At 40.2% G+C, this 19,506-nt stretch overlaps 1 protein-coding gene across 6 annotated transcripts in view, besides 1 other annotated feature; it reads left to right on the plus strand.

The window, feature by feature from the left end:
* BORCS5 (BLOC-1 related complex subunit 5) overlaps positions 1–19,506 on the plus strand; it is a 114,156-nt gene that overhangs the window by 34,734 nt on the left and 59,916 nt on the right. The gene's annotated exons all lie outside the window — the stretch shown is intronic.
* Positions 15,885–16,074: a silencer, noted in NCBI's record as "fragment chr12:12560630-12560819 (GRCh37/hg19 assembly coordinates)". NCBI's record gives its function as "represses an EF-1alpha promoter that drives an FKBP-Casp9 reporter gene in an ReSE screen in K562 erythroleukemia cells {active_cell/tissue: K562}" and the evidence as "EXISTENCE:reporter gene assay evidence [ECO:0000049][PMID:32094911]".

The following is a 19,506-nucleotide window of genomic DNA, read 5'->3' on the forward strand; positions in this document are numbered from 1 at the left end:
GCTTGAGCTCAGGAGTTCAAGACCAGCCTGGCCGACATGGTGAAACCCCGTCACTAAAAAAAAAAAAAAAAAAAACGCTAAAAATTTAGGCAGGCATGGGGGTTTGCTCCTGTAGTCCCAGCTACTCAGGAGGTTGAGGCATGAGAATCACTTGAACCCAGGAGGCAGAGGTTGCAGTGAGCCAAGATTGCACCACAGCACTCCAGCCTGGGCAATGGAGTGAGACTTCATTTCAAAAAAAAAAAAAAAAAAAAATAGAGACAAAGCTAAAATGGTGCAGCTCTAAGTCCAACGATCATAATTGTTTAAGTTAAAGGGATTTCTGCACACAGCAATTATTTGTTGAGTCCCCAATATGTAACAAATACACACTACTCAAATAAATTAATCCTCCCAATAACCTTCTGAGGTAGAGGTATTAGTGTCCCTTTTAGAGATGAGGAAAATGTGATCCAAAGAGGTTAGGTGACTTGACCAAGATCCTAAGGCCAATATACGACGTTTTCGATCTCTGAATTATCTCCAAAGTCTGTGCTTTTTCCTATCATGCCACACTGCCCCTCTGCACTCTCATGAATTGCAGGAATTTATTCCAAGTTACAAAGAATCATTCCAGTTCTGCTTAAACATTTCTAGTAATTAAGATAGTTTAATACTATGCAAGGCAGCAAAAAGGTTACAGACATAGACTTTTGAGAACAGTCAGATCCAGATTAAGAACAGCTGCTCAGCCACTTCTTAGCTGCACAACACTGGACAAATCCTTATCTCTAAACAACAGTATCCTTATCTATAAATTGAGACTAAAAAGTACCCACATGACAAGGATGCTGTGAGAATTAAATGTGAGACGCTGTCTGAAAAGTGCTTAGCTCACTGTGTGACGTATTGCAATTGCCCAATAAAAATTACCATTCAAATTATTATAGAAAGTTCTTTTTATCAAACCAAACTCTACCTCCCAATAATTTCTGTCCACTGATCTCAGTTCTGATCACTGGGACTTTATAAAATTAGATCAAATCCTGTATCTATTTGGCACCCATGTAATATTAGAAGAGGGTTATATTCTGAGTCGTCTCTTCTGCAAACCAAAACTGTAATCTGCTTCAAATCTCCTTCATAAAAAAAGGTCGGCCAGGTGTGGTGGCTCATGCCTATAATGCAATGCCAGCACTTTAGGAGGCTGAGGTGGGCGGACTGCTTGAGCCCAAGAGTTCAAGACCAGCCTGGACAATATGGCAAAACTCCGTCTCTACAAAAAATACAAAAAAATTAGACCAGCACAGTGGTGCATGCCTGTAGTCCCAGCTACTTGGGAGGCTGGGGCGGGAGGATCCTTGAGCTCAGGAGGCAGAGGTTGCAGTGAGCCGAGATTGTGCTGCTGCACTCCAGCCTGGGTGACAGAGTGAGACCTTATCTCCAAAAAATAATAATAAGACAAGGTTTCTGGACAATGACTTCTATCACTCAACTCAGGATGTACCCTAGTTTAAAAATCTCTTCTTAAACATGACACCCAGAATACTCTCGCAGGTGTACAGTAACCATTGCCAGGTGCCTGGGACTACTGCTTCCACTTTCTGAACTTGAGATCAAAAAAGCCCCCACTGAATTGCTGTTGAGCCAGTTTTCCCACACCCTATCCTTATACAACTGGTTATTTTTCATCTAAATGCAGGACTTTACAGGTACTGCTTTTAAGTGTTTTTGTTTTTTGTTTTTTCAGATAGGGTCTCACTCTGTCACTCAGGCTGGAATGCAGTGGCATGATCTTGGCTCACTGCAACCTCTGCCTCCTGGGTTCAAGTGATTCTCGTGCCTCAACCTCCTGAGTAGCTGGGACTACAGGAGCACACCACCATGCCTGCCTAAATTTTGTATTTTTAGTAGAGGCGGGGTTTCACCATGTTGGCCAGGCTGTTCTTGAACTCCTGACTTCAGGTAGATCTGCCCGCCTTGGCCTTCCAAAGTGCTGGGATTATAGGTGTGAGCCATCGCGCCCGGCCTTTGTCTCTATTTTTGAACATTAGAATTACATTATCTCTCATATAATACATGCTAATATACCAATTAGAACAGAAGTTTTGATTGCTAGACTTGATTTTGTTTACAATTTGGTACAGATCAGGTGTGTATGTTTACTTTTTATGGTTTTTCTTTCATTCCCCTTGCTGATAGCAAGTAGCAGCTACTGTCAGCTTGGAAACCAAAATAAAATCAATAGCCCTCGGCCGGGTGCGGTGGCTCATGCCTGTAATTCCAGCACTTTGGGAGGCTGAGGTGGGTGGATCACTTGAGGTCAGGAGTTCTAGACTACACTGGCCAACATGGTGAAACCCTGTCTCTACTAAAAATACAAAAATGAGCCTGGTATGGTAGTGCACACCTGTAATCCCAGCTACTCGGGAGGCTGAGGCAGGAGAATCACTTGAACCCAGGAGGCAGAGGTTGCAGTGAGCTGAGATCATGCCACTGCACCCCAGCTTGGGTGACAGATTGAGACTCTATCTCAAAAAACAAACAAACAAAAGACAAACCAATAGGCCTCTGAGGCAGTCTGAAGGGCTTCCTGTTATTAAAATACACAGGAATTAATACATGGGATTTAACTATTTTGGTGACCTGTAGGCCATTTTTGGTTTTCCCTGTTTCTTGGCTGTTCAGGGAGTTGGAATTATTAAATAAGTAAGATATAACTGGATGTCACATAATTTTTGCCGCCCTTTAAAAAAAAAAAATTTAAAGAGACAGAGTACGTTGCCTGGGCTGAACTCAAACTCCTGGGCTCAAGTGTCTGCCTTGGCCTCCTGAGTAGCTGGGACTACAGATGTATTCCATCTTGCCAGGCTGATTTTTGCTCCTGAGGATTACAATCTAGTATAGAAAACAAACCTCATGGTTGACTTAAAGTGTAGGATTTTACAAGCATAGTGTTCATTTAGTAGTGTATAATGGTATCATACCTTCTGTGTGGAGTGCCTGTTTCCCATGTGCCAAGTGCTACACTGGTTGTACTTCATACAGGACCTTTGCAAGTCTTCAAAAACAATCCTATGAGGGAAATATTAACATCATCCACATATAGATAATGCTGAGCTACAGAGAGGTTAGACAACTTGCTCATCTTCCAAAAAGATTTAAACTCAGGTCTGTCATAGTCCAAAGGCCGGATGGTTTTTACCACAGGGGAAGAGGTGGACCATAGTCATAGGAAACAACTGTATATAGAGAGGAATGATTAATTGAGCTGAACCTAAAAGGACAGGTGGGGTTTTGGTGTGATGTGTTAGGTTGGGTTGGGAAGGTGGATGAAGGAGTTCTGGGCTGGCAAGAGAGTCTGAGCAAAGTGGGTCTGAATATCCTGCATTGAGGAGATGGGGTGGTGGCAGAGTGATCACTCTGTGACCAAAGAGAAGGCTGCAATTTGAGAGGGAGTAAGAGGATGAGACAATTATTATTATTATTATTATTTTGAGAAAGAGTCTCTCTCTGTCACCCAGGCTGGAGTGCAGTGGTGTGATCTCTGCCACTGCAGCCTCCGCTTCCCAGGTTCAAATGATTCTCTTGTCTCAGCCTCCCAAGTAGCTGGGAATACAGGTGCGTACCACCACACCCAGCTAATTTTTTTTTTTTTTTTTTTTTTTGTATTTTTAGTAGAGATGGGGTTTCACCATGTTGGCCAGGCTGATCTCGAACTCCCGACCTCAAGTGATCCACCTGCCTTGGCCTCCCAGCGTGCCGGGATTACAGGGGTGAGCTACCATGCCCGGCAAGGTGGGAAAATTAGGTTAGGGCCAGATTTGGAGGCTCCTAAAGGATAGGGAAAGGAATTTGAAGTTGATGCCATAAGAACGTGATTGTAGTTTTGTTTGTTGCAGTAGGGAGCAGGGTATTAACATGTTGACAGCTGCGCTTTTTGAATGAATTGGTATGACAGTGGCCAAAGATGGACAATGCAGTTAGGAGATTGTTGTAGTTTCCTAGTGATGAGCTGATGAAAGCCTGGGCTGGGGTGGGGATAGTGGAAGGAGGAGCAAACTTGAGAGGCATTTTCAAGGAAGAAATGACAGGATTTGGCAAATTGGGTGCCAGGAATAAAAAGACGGGGAAATAGCCATAGGGTTGCTTGATTGAGGGAGCAGAATAATGGCAGAATGGGGAAGGGAGATTAATTTTGTTTGTTTGTTTGTTTCTTTTGGAGATGGAGTCTGGCTCTGTTGCCCAGGCTGGAGTGCAGTGGCACCATCTCGGCTCACTCCGCCCCCTGGGTTCAAGCGATTCTCCTGCCTCAGCCTCCCGTGTAGCTGAGATTACAGGCCCACATTACCACGCCCAGCTAATTTTTGTATTTTTAGTAGAGATGGGTTTCATCATGTTGGCCAGGCTGGTTTCAAACTCCTGACCTCAAGTGATCTGCCCGCCTCGGCCTCCCGAAGTGCTAGGATTACAGGTGTGAGCAACCGTGCCCAGTGGGAGATTAATTTTGAATTTTGGCCTTGTGGCCTTGCAAAACCACAACTAGTAGGAGCCGTTTCACTGATGCATACTCAATGCTCCCTAGCCTAGCATCCGCACAATGCCTTTTCTGGCCATGGCGGAGAGCACTTCAAAAGGAGGCCCTGCGGAGGGTGGGGTGGGTAGAGGAGCATGGTAGGGAATGGGAGGGGCAGGTGTCTTCCAAAGTTTGCAGTTCTCCTAACTTGTTTTGCCCTAGGTCCGCTGAATGCAGTATTACAGTCATGGCAAATGTCACCGTACTGATGTGCTTAACATAGATGTAATGTTTTCTAGAGGGTACGCTAAAACTCTTGGAGGGAGTGGGGGGTGGGGGTTATAAATCTTTATGTTATTTTTCTGTTAATGTCAAGGAACAGTTCATCCTTCTGGGTCTGTATGTTTAAACTGAGAGTGAATATTAATAGGAATTTACGGTACTCATGTTGGAAATTGCTACCCTCATTTAGAAACCATTAACCTTTATGTTAATAAAATAATGTTTTTAAATGAGCATATGAAATCTGTGTTGAACAGCTGCGGTCTTTCCGGAACACTAACTTAAAAAATGCTCAGCATACTTTTTGAAAATCAAAAGCATGTGGGTGGGATGAAGTCACCTGAGCAATTTTCTATAATTACAACTTTCAAGGCCTTTTCCTTTGTCTTTTTCCAGCTAACCTAAAATACACATGCACGCATGTGCACCCTCACACAGACAGCAGCACAAACCTGTGATTTTCTTCTTTCTCTCTATGGACTTTTTGGCCTTGTTTTTGTTAAATAGTTGCAGTTCCCTAGGAGGATATGTGTTGTCTTGTTCCTTCTCTAGTTTATTTGAAACCTTATATCTTTGAGAACTTTGGAACTCCCCAGAACAGGCTAGATGTCCACCTAGACTCCCAAGCTTTGAATGCCCTGTCCTAAAGTATTTCTAGGTGCGTTGGATCTAAACTGATTCCCCTAGGGTGACAGTGGAAACCCCAAAATGCCGACATCCTAGAGAATGACCAGGAACATGCTCAAGTTGTTACACAGTTTTTTGTACGTGCTGAGGTTCCTCAGTGCCATCCTGGTCAGCCAGTACTGGAATGTGACAGAACTGGCATTTGTGCCCAGGAACAGCCTACGCTGGGAATTCGCTTCTGCATTCTGATAATTAAGTCTGCTGTGCTGCTAATATTGTTCCCTGAAGGAAGGAGAGCTAGGGAATAATATCATTCCCACTTGTACCTTTTAATTAACAGAGGAGTGGAATGGAAAGAGTTTTAAAGAAGACTTTGATGAGAGAAGATCGGTACCTGACATAGTCTGGTAATTCCATCATTGTCGAACACATTTTAAGAATACCACCGCCAGTTTTTTCAGTGAGCTAACTGAAAATAATTCTAAACTTTGGCTTATTTTATGTGTAGAATAAAATTATTGATTTTCCAAGAGCATTCATTAAGAAGTGCCTTGCTAAGAAGTGTTAAGCGTGAAGTAGTGTAATATGTCTGTCCTACTATTTTAGGGGTCACTCCTTCTTCATCTTCCTCTTCTCTTTCCTCTAAGTAACCAAAGCTCTTCACCTAGAATGGAATTTGGGGCTTACATTTTCCTTACTATCATATAGCTGTTTCTTGTTACCGAAAGCAGAGAGAGCTTTTTCAGGGAGGTTAAAATTATCGTTATCTTGTTATAGTGTTATTTTTTCCTTCTTAGTAAGTTAGGAGCAATGCTTTGTCTTCCTGAAGCTGTCTGAAAAGATGCTTGTATACATGTGTATAGCGCTTTGGGTCATAGAAATTAGGTGTTATGTCATCTGTTTCAGAAGATGCACTAATGCATCAAAAACAAGTGACAGGGAAAACAATGCAGTGAGTAATCTTGTTGCCTCAAAACTGAGCAAACGTTTTGGGAGAGCAAGTTCTTGCGGGACATCACTAAATAAGAATGAGTTGATGTCACACTTGGCAAGAAGCAACTCTTTAAAATTTTTTTTTTCCATACAAATAGTACAACATGACTGGGAGGAGGGATTGTGGGCAAAGGGTAAAGAATTATGGAGGGAAAATGAGCAGGAGAAGGAATGTGAGAATGAGCTGCTTGCTACAAAAATAATTAATATGTAATCAAAGCCATGTTTGTTTTGTCAGGAAAAATCTGAGTCAGAACATGAGCTGATGAAGGGGAGAGATGTTTACCATGTCCTCCCCCACACCCTCAGAGGGCCGTTGTGTGCAGATCCCTGCGGAGGGTTGTGTAACCATCTTGACTCATTTTCAGGGAAGAATGGCCCCTGTAGCTCTTTTGGCTCAATATAATGCTGCATCAAGGATGAGTGAAGAAGTCTCTGGAATACAGTGCTATCAAACTCAAAATATGGTCATTTTAATGAGAATTTCCAAACACTAGGAGGCAATACTGTGCAGACCTTGTGCCACCACCTGCCTCCCCCTTCCCAGATATCTGTGCGATATTGGGAATTCAGGCAGCCCAATCGATAGCTGATTTTACCTTTTCCTACAAGGCAGAAAATGTCAAGATTAGCCAACTATTTATTGAAATTAGTTGGAGTTATCTGGCTACATGAGTGTCTGTGGTCCAGTGTATCATAATAAGAGTGGGAGAGACGGTTGGGGTGCTACTGGCATCTTGGGTGGGCCAGCCTTTATTGTGTGTCACTGCCGTGTATTGGCAATTTTTGTCCCTGCCCACTGAATTGCCAGTGGTGCCCCAGTCTCTGCGATGGCCAGGAGAGGCCTTCCTTCTTCCAGATTACCTCTGTGTGTTTCAGGGGGGCTAAAACAGTATGTGTTTTACAGTATTACTAAGCAGCACAGTTTTCTTTGTTGTTCCTTAGCATAAAGATCTTGGAAAGTTTTAAGAAGTTGTGTGTTTATACTGTAGCATAGGTTTCATTCAACCTATCACTCCTATTCACTCCTCAGAGTGAATTTCAGGGAAAAACAACAGTATTGGGGGAAAAAGTTTGGAAAAATTGGATGGAGGGAAGGAAAAAAAAAGGTGAATTGCAAAAGGGTTTCTTACGTAGCCCACTATTGTTCCCCAAATCAACACTCACTCTCCAGCTCTTTGGGTGGTTGCTCTGCATTTTCAAGAGGCAGCCTGGGGTGGAGGTCAGGGTTGCAGGTAAGGTAGAGGGGAAATAAGAGAGGACAGGGAAGAGGCAGGCATGAATAAAAGATTTGGATTGGAATATAAAGATGGAATACAATGGAGATAATGAAAGACCATAACAAAGAAACAGGAGATTTTACATGGCATTGTTAAGCTTACAATGTTGGCATTTTGGGGACAATTCTGAGTACCACAGATCTAGAACTTCTAAAAGAAAAACCCTCTGAGATAATTACAGCAGTTAAAGACCTTCACATACATGTTGAATTAATAGTATTTAATGTCCCTTTGTAGGTTTCAATCTTTTAAGCCTGTCCTGCCAAAGACTGTGTCCTTCTAGGTGCTTAGCCAGTAATTTAGGTGTACTGTCACCAGTTGTTTCCGTCATGACTTCTAAGTCTCAGCAGCCATTTTCCCTTAGGTTTTATTAACTGAGTCAGTAACTCAAAGTGTCATTGTTTTCCACTCATCTGGACTTTCTGAAAATAACACAGTGCTTTATTGGAAAAGCTAAGCATAGACATTAGCCAAATGTTTGCTAAAAATTAACCAAATTAAATGTTATTAAATAAGATGTGCAAATAGAGGAAAATTTTGAGAAGTATGAACAAATCCCACTAATCTTTGTTGTCAGTCACTACTTAGAACCTTGGCTTCGCACCAAGGCTGAATTAAGTTGAAGAATGTTTTCCGTAATGCTTCCCCTACCTTTTAAGTTGGTTTGAAAACATTCAGTTGCATGTGTACCACTGGATTTTTAGCTTTTTCACTAGTTGTTACCCTGGCAGCCTTGATTCAGTGAAAATCTTGTTTTTATCACAGGCTATTTCTCTGAGCAGCCAATGTTTCACGCTCTCTCCCTGTCTAATTGTCTGGCCTTGGTAACTCTTAGCAAGAGTTGAAATTACCTCGGTCAACCACATGACAAAAGAGTGGGCATGGGTTTTCCTGAATGTCTCCTGAGGTGACCAAGGGTGGAGTGGTGGTAGCATAATAAACCCCATGGGAAGTGGAGCCATAGATTCCATCAGCTTTGCAGAGGGGCCTTAGACCCAGCAGGGTTTAAGAAACTGCTGTGGATAGGATGCCTTGTCCTCCATAGAGATTATCAGCTGCTACCTAGAATTTCTTTTTCATTTGCAGTATGTCAGCATACAGAAAAAAAAAAAAAAATAGCAAACACCTGTGTATTCATCAAATTTGTCATATTTTAATATTTTGCCATGTTTGCTTCAGATCTCTTTCCCTGCAGGAAGAAAAATACACGTTTCAAATAAACAACGCCCCCTCCCCATCCTTTATATCCTTCCCTGATATTCCCTCCTCCTCCCACTCCACAGGGAATTATTGATCTGATTTTGGCATTCATCATGCCCATGTGTTTTCTTCGTGGCTTGTCTTTTTCCTACATGTTTTTGTATATCTAAGCGGTGTAGAATATTCTTTCACTTGTTTTGACTTTATATAAGTTGTGTTCTATATGTATCCTTCAGCTACTTGTGTAACTTTCTTTTTTCTTTTCCTTATAATTTTGAGATTTATCCATGTTGATATATGTCTCACTTATTTTCACTGCTGCGTAGTATTCCATCAAATGAATATTTCACAGTGTATCCATTGACTTATTAGTGAATATTTGAGTTGTTTCCAGTTGTTTTACTATTAAACAGTTTTGCAGTGGACATCTTTGTACATGTCTCCTTTTGCACATGTATGAGAGTTTTCTCTAGGGTATGTAACTAGGAACAAATTGCTGTCTAGTAGGGCACATGTATTTTCAGCTTTACTAGATACAGTCAATTTACTCTTCAAAGTAGTTATGCTCTTTTATCGCCTTACTAGCTATATATTAGAGTTCCTGTTGTTCCACATCCTCAGTAAAACCGGATATTGTCCCAGCTGTTCCTTGCTTATTGATTAATTTAAAGACAACATCGTGCTTAGCAACCATCTCAAACATAGGGTCAGATGCAAACTTAATTTTCTTATACCATGCTTCTTCCTTTTAAAAGAATTGTTTTGATTTCTGAGTTACAAATCCAAGATAACTATAACATAGCTTTTTTGCCATATTTATTTTTTTAATAATTTTTTTTCTGATCACGAAATGAATATATGATTATTTTAAGGAACTTGGAAAACAAAATGACAAAAAAGAAAATTAAAAATTCTACCTAGACATAGCCATTGTTAATAACTTGCTATATTTTTCCTTCTAGTGTAGACCTATGTAAAGTATACATTTACTTTATAATTAAAATTTGTCATTTTATATCACAATTTTACTTAAAATTCTATTGTGGCATTTCCCATGTCATTGGATATTGTTTGAAAACATCATCTAAGGCCAGGAGCGGTGGTTCACGCCTGTAATCCCAGCACTTTGGGAGGCCAAGGCGGGCGGATCACGAGGTCAGAAGATCGAGACCATCCTGGTTAACATGGTGAAACCCTGTCTCTACTAAAAAAAAAAAATACAAAAAAATTAGCTGGGCTTGGTGGTGGGCGCCTGTAGTCCCAGCTACTCAGGAGGCTGAGGCAGGAGAATGGCGTGAACCCGGGAGGCGGAGCTTGCAGTGAGCCAAGATGGCGCCACTGCACTTCAGCCTGGGCTACAGAGCGAGACTCCGTCTCAAAAAAAAAAAAAAAAAAAGTGTAAACAGCTGGATAACATTTCTTTTTGTAAATATAAATATAGTTTAATCATTCTCCCATTGGAGGACATTTTGGGTATTAAAATGATACTGGAGTACAAAATCTTGGTGCATAAATTTCATCTGAGTTTGTTTCTTTGGGATAGATTTCTAGAAGCCAGTAACTATTCATGGAATTAGATTGGATAGCTGATAAAAGCAGGGCATCAAGGGAGAAAAAAGAGTTGAGAGAGCAAAACAACATGCTTAAGGATCATGAGATTCGTGAATTCAGCTTCTGTCATATTTGAATTGAGTGGCAAATTTGTCTCTTACCTGAATTTGGAGACCCTTCTCTAATTAGGGATGATTATTAGAGGGAAATTCTGCCCTACTGTGGACACCAGAGAGTTGGTTGTGTGTTGTAGTGTTCAAGAGTTTTATCCAATATTCTGCTTCCTGCAGAGTTCCTGAATTGAGGGTCTTTTGTGGAATATCTCATTGAAGTAGACTTTTAACCTTGACTTGCTCAACATCTGATCAGAAGCAGCTCGTTGTCATATAAGGAAATCTGCTCTGTTATGGAACATCTTTGAGTAGTTGAGTTCCCCTTTTTCCCATAAGTCCAAATTTGATTCCCTGTCACCTTCAATTGTTCTTTAACTTGTTTTTAAACAAAAGTCTCCCTAAAAATAATTCCAGAAGTATTTGAACTTTATTTCTCTATTAGCTTCTACTGTAATTAACATGAAAACAAACATGTTTTAAAGTCTTTGTTTCCTTCTAAGGTATAATTTAGCTTTATCACGTCTTCATAGTGAAAGTTGTATACGTGAACGTTGGTAGGATAGAAAAACTTTCCACATAGTTTTATACTTGGTGCCCAGAAAACTTCCAAAGTGTTTAGGTACTACTCATTATTATTTCTTAGAAATTGAATAGAAGCAGTGGCTTGAGTATACACAGTCCCACTTTTTCGTTAATAATAACCACATTTCCCTTTTTTTTTTTGCACAAAAGTGTTACATGTATTTTCTCGTTTAATCCTTGTACAACCTATTAGGGTAGGTATTTTCCTCATTTGGCAGATGAGGGTGCTGAGGCTCAGAGAGATGAAAGACCTTTCCTGTCACACAGCTATTAAGGGCAGAGCTAGGATTTAAACTCAGATCTAATTCTAAAACCTGTATATTTAACTAGTTTGCACATCTGTCTCCCTGACTTAATTGCATCATAAAATCAAAGATATTTCTCTTCAAAATATGTTCATGTTGGATTATTTGGCTGTTTCACTGTTAGAGGTCTGTTGCTTCTGCTGGCTTTTCTGTGGCAATCCCAGCTGCTCTTCCCCGTGGCTTGGGCACACCAAGGATTTCCTTTCTGTGATTGCCCCATATCTCCCTAGTCCGCTGTGGGGGGCACCTTCCTGCTTCTGAGGAAACTGAAGCAGGAGATGAGGAAAGGGTAACAATTAATTACATACTTTTTTTTCCCGAGTATTATCAACTAACATGTTCCATAAAGGAGCATGTTTTCACAGCTGTGTGCTTTAGAAACAGGGAGAAAGGTTTGAGTTTTTATGACTGAGGTATCTTCAACAAAGGCTGTGATGTACACGCTTGATGGACTTGGAACGTGGAAACCCATTCCCTCCCTCAGCCCTGGGATTGGAATCTTTGTGTTTATGGTCACATGAGTATTCAGATATGTTATCTCTGAATGTGATGCCCTGGTCAGAGAACCAAGGAGTGGACTTGCTAGATTATATGATTTAATTACCCTAGATCAATCAAGCTTTGACTTACTGATGGCAGGATATATTGTGTATTTTTTCCTAGTTGCTAGAGGAAAGGAACAAAGTTTAATCCTTGGCTTTGTTGACCTTTGGTATCACTTTTATCTTGTAGTTCCGTATAACTGCCTTTGTAGACTCTTCAAAAGGCTGAAGGCAAGTGATTTATAGATAAGGGCTCATTCAGTACTTGCACAAGAAGAGCCCATATCTTCAAATATGGGTGACGTAAATTTACTTCAGAAACAGAAATGAGCTCATTTATTTGGAGAGATGTGAACAGAATGTGCGTCTTTTGCTCCGGGTGAGAAATAAATTTAAATTCAGAACTTTGCTTGGGGGAAATGAAATGGAGGAACTAGGCACTTGAGCCTCTTGGAAATTAGAGATCTTTAGCCAAGGCCCAAGGGAGCACTGTCTTGGTCCATTTATAACAAAATACTGGAGACTGGGTAATTTATAAAGAACAGAAATTTATTTCTCACTGTTCTGGAGGCTGGGAAGTTCAAGATTAAGGTTTGTTGAGTGCTGCGTCTTCTAGAGTGGATGAACACTCTGCCCTCAACTGGCAGAAGGAGAATGGGCAAAAAACAGGAGTAACTCCCCTGCTGAGCCCTTTTGTAAGGGCAGCTAATCCCATTTACCCAGAGAGGAGCCCTCATGGCCTAACCACCTCTTAAAAGCCCCACCTCCTATTACTGTCATTGGCAACACCTGCATTTTGGAAGGGACCCATTCAAACCATAGCAAGCACCAATAGTATGTTTCAGAACTCATCCACATAGGAGCACTCCTCAGCATGTCCAACAGCAGTCTGTGGAGAACTACTTTTTTGTTTTGGTTTGGTTTTTTGTTTTCTTTTTTGTGACACAGTCTCTGTTGCCCAGGCTGGAATGCAGTGGCATCATCTCAGCCCACTGAAATCTCTGCCTCCTGGGTTCAAGTGATTCTCCTGCCTCAGCCTCCCAAGTAGCTGGGATTACAGGTGCCCGCCACCACACCTGGCTAATTTTTTTGTATTTTTATTACAGATGGGCTTTCACCATGTTGGCCAGGCTGGTCTCAAACTCCTGGCCTCAAGTGATCCACCCACCTCGGCCTCCTAAAGTGCTGGCATTACAGGCATGAGCCACCGCGCCCGGCCAGAGAACTACTTTGTGTAAGTCTACGAGGCACCATACACACTTTTTCCCTTAAGGACCTTACTGAGTAACTGGGAAGAGAGAGCAGGAATGTCAACAATAATACAGAAGAAGGGTTCTATGGTAAATGCCGAAAGTGAACCTTCAACGAAGTGAGTTCCAGAGAGACAACCCATAAAGGTAAAGATTTAGTCATAAATGAGCTGTGTTGCTACTGAAAACATCTTGATTCTAAAGTATAACCACATCTCAACCAAGCAAAAACTGTCTTAAGCCTGAATTAAGAGGAAAATGATATTTTAAATGAACTCCTCAAGTAAGTTGCCAAATCATTGACACTAGAATTTTAAGAATTGGTGACTCTAGAGCTTTCATGGTTTGGCTACTGTATTATCTCCCTCAAGGTGCAGTAATATTTCTGTCACCAAAAATCATTAATTGATAACATTATTCTTTCTGTTAGTTCTAGCACTTATTTCCATCACTGTGATTTTTTTATTATGATGATTATTTTTACTTTACTTACTTAGTATAGGGGATTACCTGCCTTTTAATGTCATCCTGACAATTAAGACAAAATACAGAACATGCTTAGCACAGTGCTTGGCTGAGAGAGTGCCATCATTAATATTAGGCATTATTTTTCTTATTCTTGAAATACAGTGTTTTATATAGTGCCTGGCATGTAGTTAAATTTTAGTAAATTATAATAATGTTGTTTATTGTTTTCCAAAGGATTTTTAACATGTATTATCAATTAATACTCTGAGCTACATTCAAGGTATATAGTGCTATTCCTCTTTTACTAATACAGAAACTGAAGTTAAGTACATTGGTCAGATTTTTCTGGCTGATTTAAGCAGATAAAGAAATTATTAAAAGGAATGTGGATAGCTCACAGAATCAGCAGAAGAGCTCTAGAATCGTGTTTTGGGCTACCTAGCCAAGTAAAATGGCCAAGATCATGCCACAGAACTGAGCCACTGCCAAGTACCTGCCGTGCCTTGCACGGCAAACAATGCTGGCTGGCATTGGTGACCGGACTTTGCCACAGGGATTGCTTCTACTGCTCCCTTGGAAACTGTTTTACAGAAACTGCTGTCACCAAGGAATGTACTTCATGGAAGGCCCTATTTTGCAACATTTGCCCCCTATTTACAGTCTGGAGTGGGTGGCAATTTGCTTTATTGCCAACTCATTGTGTCTTAACTCTCTGTGAAAGAAATACTTCGTTTATATTTTCTTTTAATTGGATATAAACTGAGTAGAAGTTGAGATTATTTTCCTTATTAGTAGACTTCGTGTGTGGAAAAGTTAGTTTTTTCTGAAATTGATCTTGTTCTTAGCAATTATCTGCTATAAGTATTGCCTCAACTTTTTAGGCTACTACTAAATGAGAACTTTCCATCTGATCAGGGCGTCTTCTCCAGTGTAAACAATCCTGTTTCCCATTACCCATTGGAGCTAAGGAACCCATGATGAGTTAACACGTGCAAGAAGGGTTACCCCTTTGAGCAAGAAAAGTCCTGGCATTAGTATTTCAGATTTTTTTCTTGCATCCTTTTCTGATATTTTATTTATTTTCATTTAAAGTGGACCTATGGTTTATCTTGCTGAAAATCTCAAAAAACCAAAAAACAAACAAACAAAAAAAAAACGTGTCAGGTCCCTAATGTGATTGCTGTTAACCATATAAAAATAACCTCCCCTCTTTTATAATCAGTCTTGGTGCGCCTTGCAAAGCCTACATTTCTAACCTGTGTATACTTCAAACTACTGTGAGCATGTGTTAAACACCTTTTTTTTTTTAAATAAAAAGAACACTTTCAGCTCCTTAAAGCAAGCTCTTTTGGGAAGGAAAGAATCCCTGAGTGCTGCAGCCATCCATCCTGCTTTGTCTGGAAAGCTAAGGTTTTTGGGTTATTGATGTTTCAACAAGTGGAGAGCACCTAGGTCTGGTGAGCACCAGCTGCTGAAGTGTGGGGGGCACCCAAGTGGCCTGTTCTTCCAGGATGGCATTCATTCTTCCAGGCAAGTGGGACAAAGTGGGCTTTCTGCCTTCACTCAGTGAGAGCTGTTGAAAGATTTTCTCATCTGAATTGTGAATGTTTGTAATGTTTATTTTCACAGTAAGAGTGAGGGCCTTCTCACTTTGAATATATTCCTTTTTGCAAATAATTTTGAAGTAGTCCTGATCCTGTGTTAAAAGAAACATGGTATGTCATTATAGAAGAATCCTTCATCCCCCTTCCCTTACAAACATAAAATTTTCAGAGTTTACATTTGGAAGAAAACCTGGTTCAATTCTCTCCATTTTCAGGGAAGGAAATGGAATTTATTCTTTCCTTTGTTTATCCTTTTATAGTTTTCATTTTGTTCCCTGTTGGTCACATTTTTTTTTTTGGCCTTCTTATTAGAGGGGTATTGTGGAATATTTTTGCTTAGCAAAAATTAAAATCAACATACCTGACTTTGTAATTGTAAAATATGTATAACATACAATTTATCATTTTAATCCTTTTTGAGTGTACAATTCAGTGGCATTAAGTATATTCACATTGTTGTGCAGTATCATGACCTTCCATCTCCGGAACTTCTCCGTTATCCCAAATTGAAGTCTATTAAATAGTAATTTCCCAATCTCTACCCTCAGCCCTGACAAACATTATTATTCTACTTATTTTCGCCATGAATTTTACTATTCTTTTTGTTTTTTTTTTTTTTTGAGACAGGGCCTCACGCTGTCACCCAGGCTAGAGTGCAGTGGCACGATCTTGGCTCACTGCGACCTCCCTCTACCTTACAGGCTCAAGTGATCCTCCCGCCTCAGCCTCCTGAGTAGCTGGGACCTCAGGTGCACACCACCACGCCTGGCTAATTTTTGTATATTTTGTAGAGACGGGGTTTCACCATGTTGCCCAGGCTGGTCTCAAACTCCTAGGCTCAAGGGATCCTTCCACCTCGGCCTCCCAAATGCTGGGGTTACAGGTGTGAGCCACCGCGCCTGGCCAAATATTACTATTCTGTATGTTTCTTGTAAATTGAATCATACAGTTTTTGTCCTTTTGTGTCTGGCATACTTCAGTTTACCACAATTTTTTCAGGTTCCATCTGTATTCTAGCATGTACCAGAATTTCATTCTCTTTTTTAAGGCTGAATTCTATTATGTGTATATACCACATTTTGTTTATCCTTTCATCCATTGATGGACATTTGGGTTGTTTCTACTTTGGCCATTGTGAATAATGCTGCTGTGAACATTGATACATAAATATCTGTATGAGTCCCTGCTTTCAGTTCTTTTGGGTGCATACCCAGAGGTGGAATTGCTGGGTCATGTGGTAATTCTATGTTTATTTTTTTTCCTCCCTTGTAATTACCCACAATGTGGTAAAATACACTTGACATGAAATTTACCACTGTAACTATTTTTAAGTATAAGTTCAGTGGTATTAAGTACATTGAGATTGTTGTGTGACCATCACCACTGTCCATTTCCTGAATGTTTTTCATCTTGCAAACCTGAAACTCTATATCCGTTAAACAGCAACTTCCTATCCTCTCTTCCTCCCAGCCCTGGTAACCACTGTTCTACTTTCTTTCTCTATGATTTTGACTTTTCTGTGTACTTCATATAAATGGAATCATTCAGTGTTTGCTTGTGACTGGCTTACTTCACTTAGTGTAATGTCCTCAAGATTCACCCATGTTGTTGCATAGGTCAGAATTTTCTTTTAAAGGCTGAATACCACATGTGTATATATATAGAAAAATATTATTCAGTCTTAAAAGGGAATTCCTTTTTAAGGAATGCCTCATTTTGCTTATCCATTCTTCTATTGATGGAAATTTGAATTGTTTCCATGTTTTGGCTATTGTAAATCATGTTCTTTGAAAATGAGTGTACAAATGTCTCTTTGAGACCCTGCTTTTGATTCTTTTGGGTATATACTCAGAAGTGGAATTGCTGGATCATATAGTAATTTTACATTTAATTTTTTGAGGAACCACCACACCCCTTTCGCCAGCGGCTATGCTATACCATGTTACGTCTCCACCAATAGTGAGTAAGGGTTCTACATCTTTGCCATCATTTTTTTTTGTTTGTTTTTGATACTAGCCATCTTAATGGGTGTGAGGGGGCATCTCATTTTAGTTTTGAATTGCCCTTCCCTAATGATTAGGGATGTCAGGAATTCTTTTTATCTATTTATTTATTTTTTATTTTATTATTATTATACTTTAAGTTTTAGGGTACATGTGCACAACGTGCAGGTTTGTTACATATGTATACATGTGCCATGTTGGTGTGCTGTACCCATTAACTCGTCATTTAGCATTAGGTATATCTCCAAATGCTATCCCTCCCTCCTCCCCCCACCCCACAACAGTCCCCGGTGTGTGATGTTTCCCTTCCTGTGTCCATGAACACATGGACACTTATTGTTCAATTCCCACCTGTGAGTGAGAACATATGGTGTTTGGTTTTTTGTCCTTGCAATAGTTTGCTGAGAATGATGGTTTCCAGCTTCATCCATGTCCCTACAAAGGACATGAACTCATCATTTTTTATGGCTGCATAGTATTCCATGGTATATATGTGCCACATTTTCTTAATCCAGTCTATCATTGTTGGACATTTGGGTTGGTTCCAAGTCTTTGCTATTGTGAATAGTGCTGCAATAAACATACGTGTTCATGTGTCTTTATAGCAGCATGATTTATAATCCTTTGGGTATATACCCAGTAATGGGATGGCTGGGTCAAATGGTATTTCTAGTTCTAGATCCCTGAGGAATCGCCACACTGACTTCCACAATGGTTGAACTAGTTTACAGTCCCACCAACAGTGTAAAAGTGTTCCTATTTCTCCACACCCTCTCCAGCACCTGTTGTTTCCTGACTTTTTAATGATTGCCATTCTAACTGGTGTGAGATGGTATCTCATTGTGGTTTTGATTTTCATTTCTCTGATGGCCAGTGATGATGAGCATTTTTTCATGTGTTTTTTGGCTGCATAAATGTCTTCTTTTGAGAAGTGTCTGTTCATATCCTTCACCCACTTTTTGATGGGGTTGTTTTTTTCTTGTAAATTTGTTTGAGTTCATTGTAGATTCTGGATATTAGCCCTTTGTCAGATGAGTAGGTTGCAAACATTTTCTCCCATTCTGTAGGTTGCCTGTTCACTCTGATGGTAGTTTCTTTTGCTGTGCAGAAGCTCTTGAGTTTAATTAGATCCCATTTGTCAATTTTGGCTTTTGTTGCCATTGCTTTTGGTGTTTTTGACATGAAGTCCTTGCCCATGCCTATGTCCTGAATGGTATTGCCTAGGTTTTCTTCTAGGGTTTTTATGGTTTTAGGTCTAACATTGAAGTCTTTAATCCATCTTGAATTAGTTTTTGTATAAGGTGTAAGGAAGGGATCCAGTTTCAGCTTTCTACATATGGCTAGCTAGTTTTCCCAGCACCATTTATTAAATAGGGAATCCTTTCCCCATTGCTTGTTTTTCTCAGGTTTGTCAAAGATCAGATAGTTGTAGATATGCGGCATTATTTCTGAGGGCTCTGTTCTGTTCCATTGGTCTATATCTCTGTTTTGGTACCAGTACCATGCTGTTTTGGTTACTGTAGCCTTGTAGTATAGTTTGAAGTCAGGTAGTATGATGCCTCCAGCTTTGTTCTTTTGGCTTAGGATTGACTTGGCAACACGGGCTCTTTTTTGGTTCCATATGAACTTTCAAGTAGTTTTTTCCAATTCTGTGAAGAAAGTCATTGGTAGCTTGATGGGGATGGCATTGAATCTATAAATTACCTTGGGCAGTATGGCCATTTTCATGATACTGATTCTTCCTACCCATGAGCATGGAATGTTCTTCCATTTGTTTGTGTGTTCTTTTATTTTATTGAGCAGTGGTTTGTACTTCTCCTTGAAGAGGTCCTTCACATCCCTTTAAGTTGGATCCCTAGGTATTTTATTCTCTTTGAAGGAATTGTGAATGGGAGTTCATTCATGATTTAGCTCTGTTTGTCTGTTATTGGTGTATAGGAATGCTTATGATTTTTGCACATGGATTTTGTACCCTGAGACTTTGCTGAAGTTGCTTATCAGCTTAAGGAGGTTTTGGGCTGAGACCATGGGGTTTTCTAGATATACAATCATGTCATCTGCAAACAGGGACAATTTGACTTCCTCTTTTCCTAACTGAATGCCCTTGATTTCCTTCTCCTGCCTGATTGCCCTGGCCGGAACTTCCAACACTATGTTGAATAGGAGTGGTGAGAGAGGGCATCCCTGTCTTGTGCCCGTTTTCAAAGGGAA

Source organism: Homo sapiens, chromosome 12, assembly GCF_000001405.40.
Source record: "Homo sapiens chromosome 12, GRCh38.p14 Primary Assembly".
Classification (NCBI taxonomy): domain Eukaryota; kingdom Metazoa; phylum Chordata; class Mammalia; order Primates; family Hominidae; genus Homo; species Homo sapiens.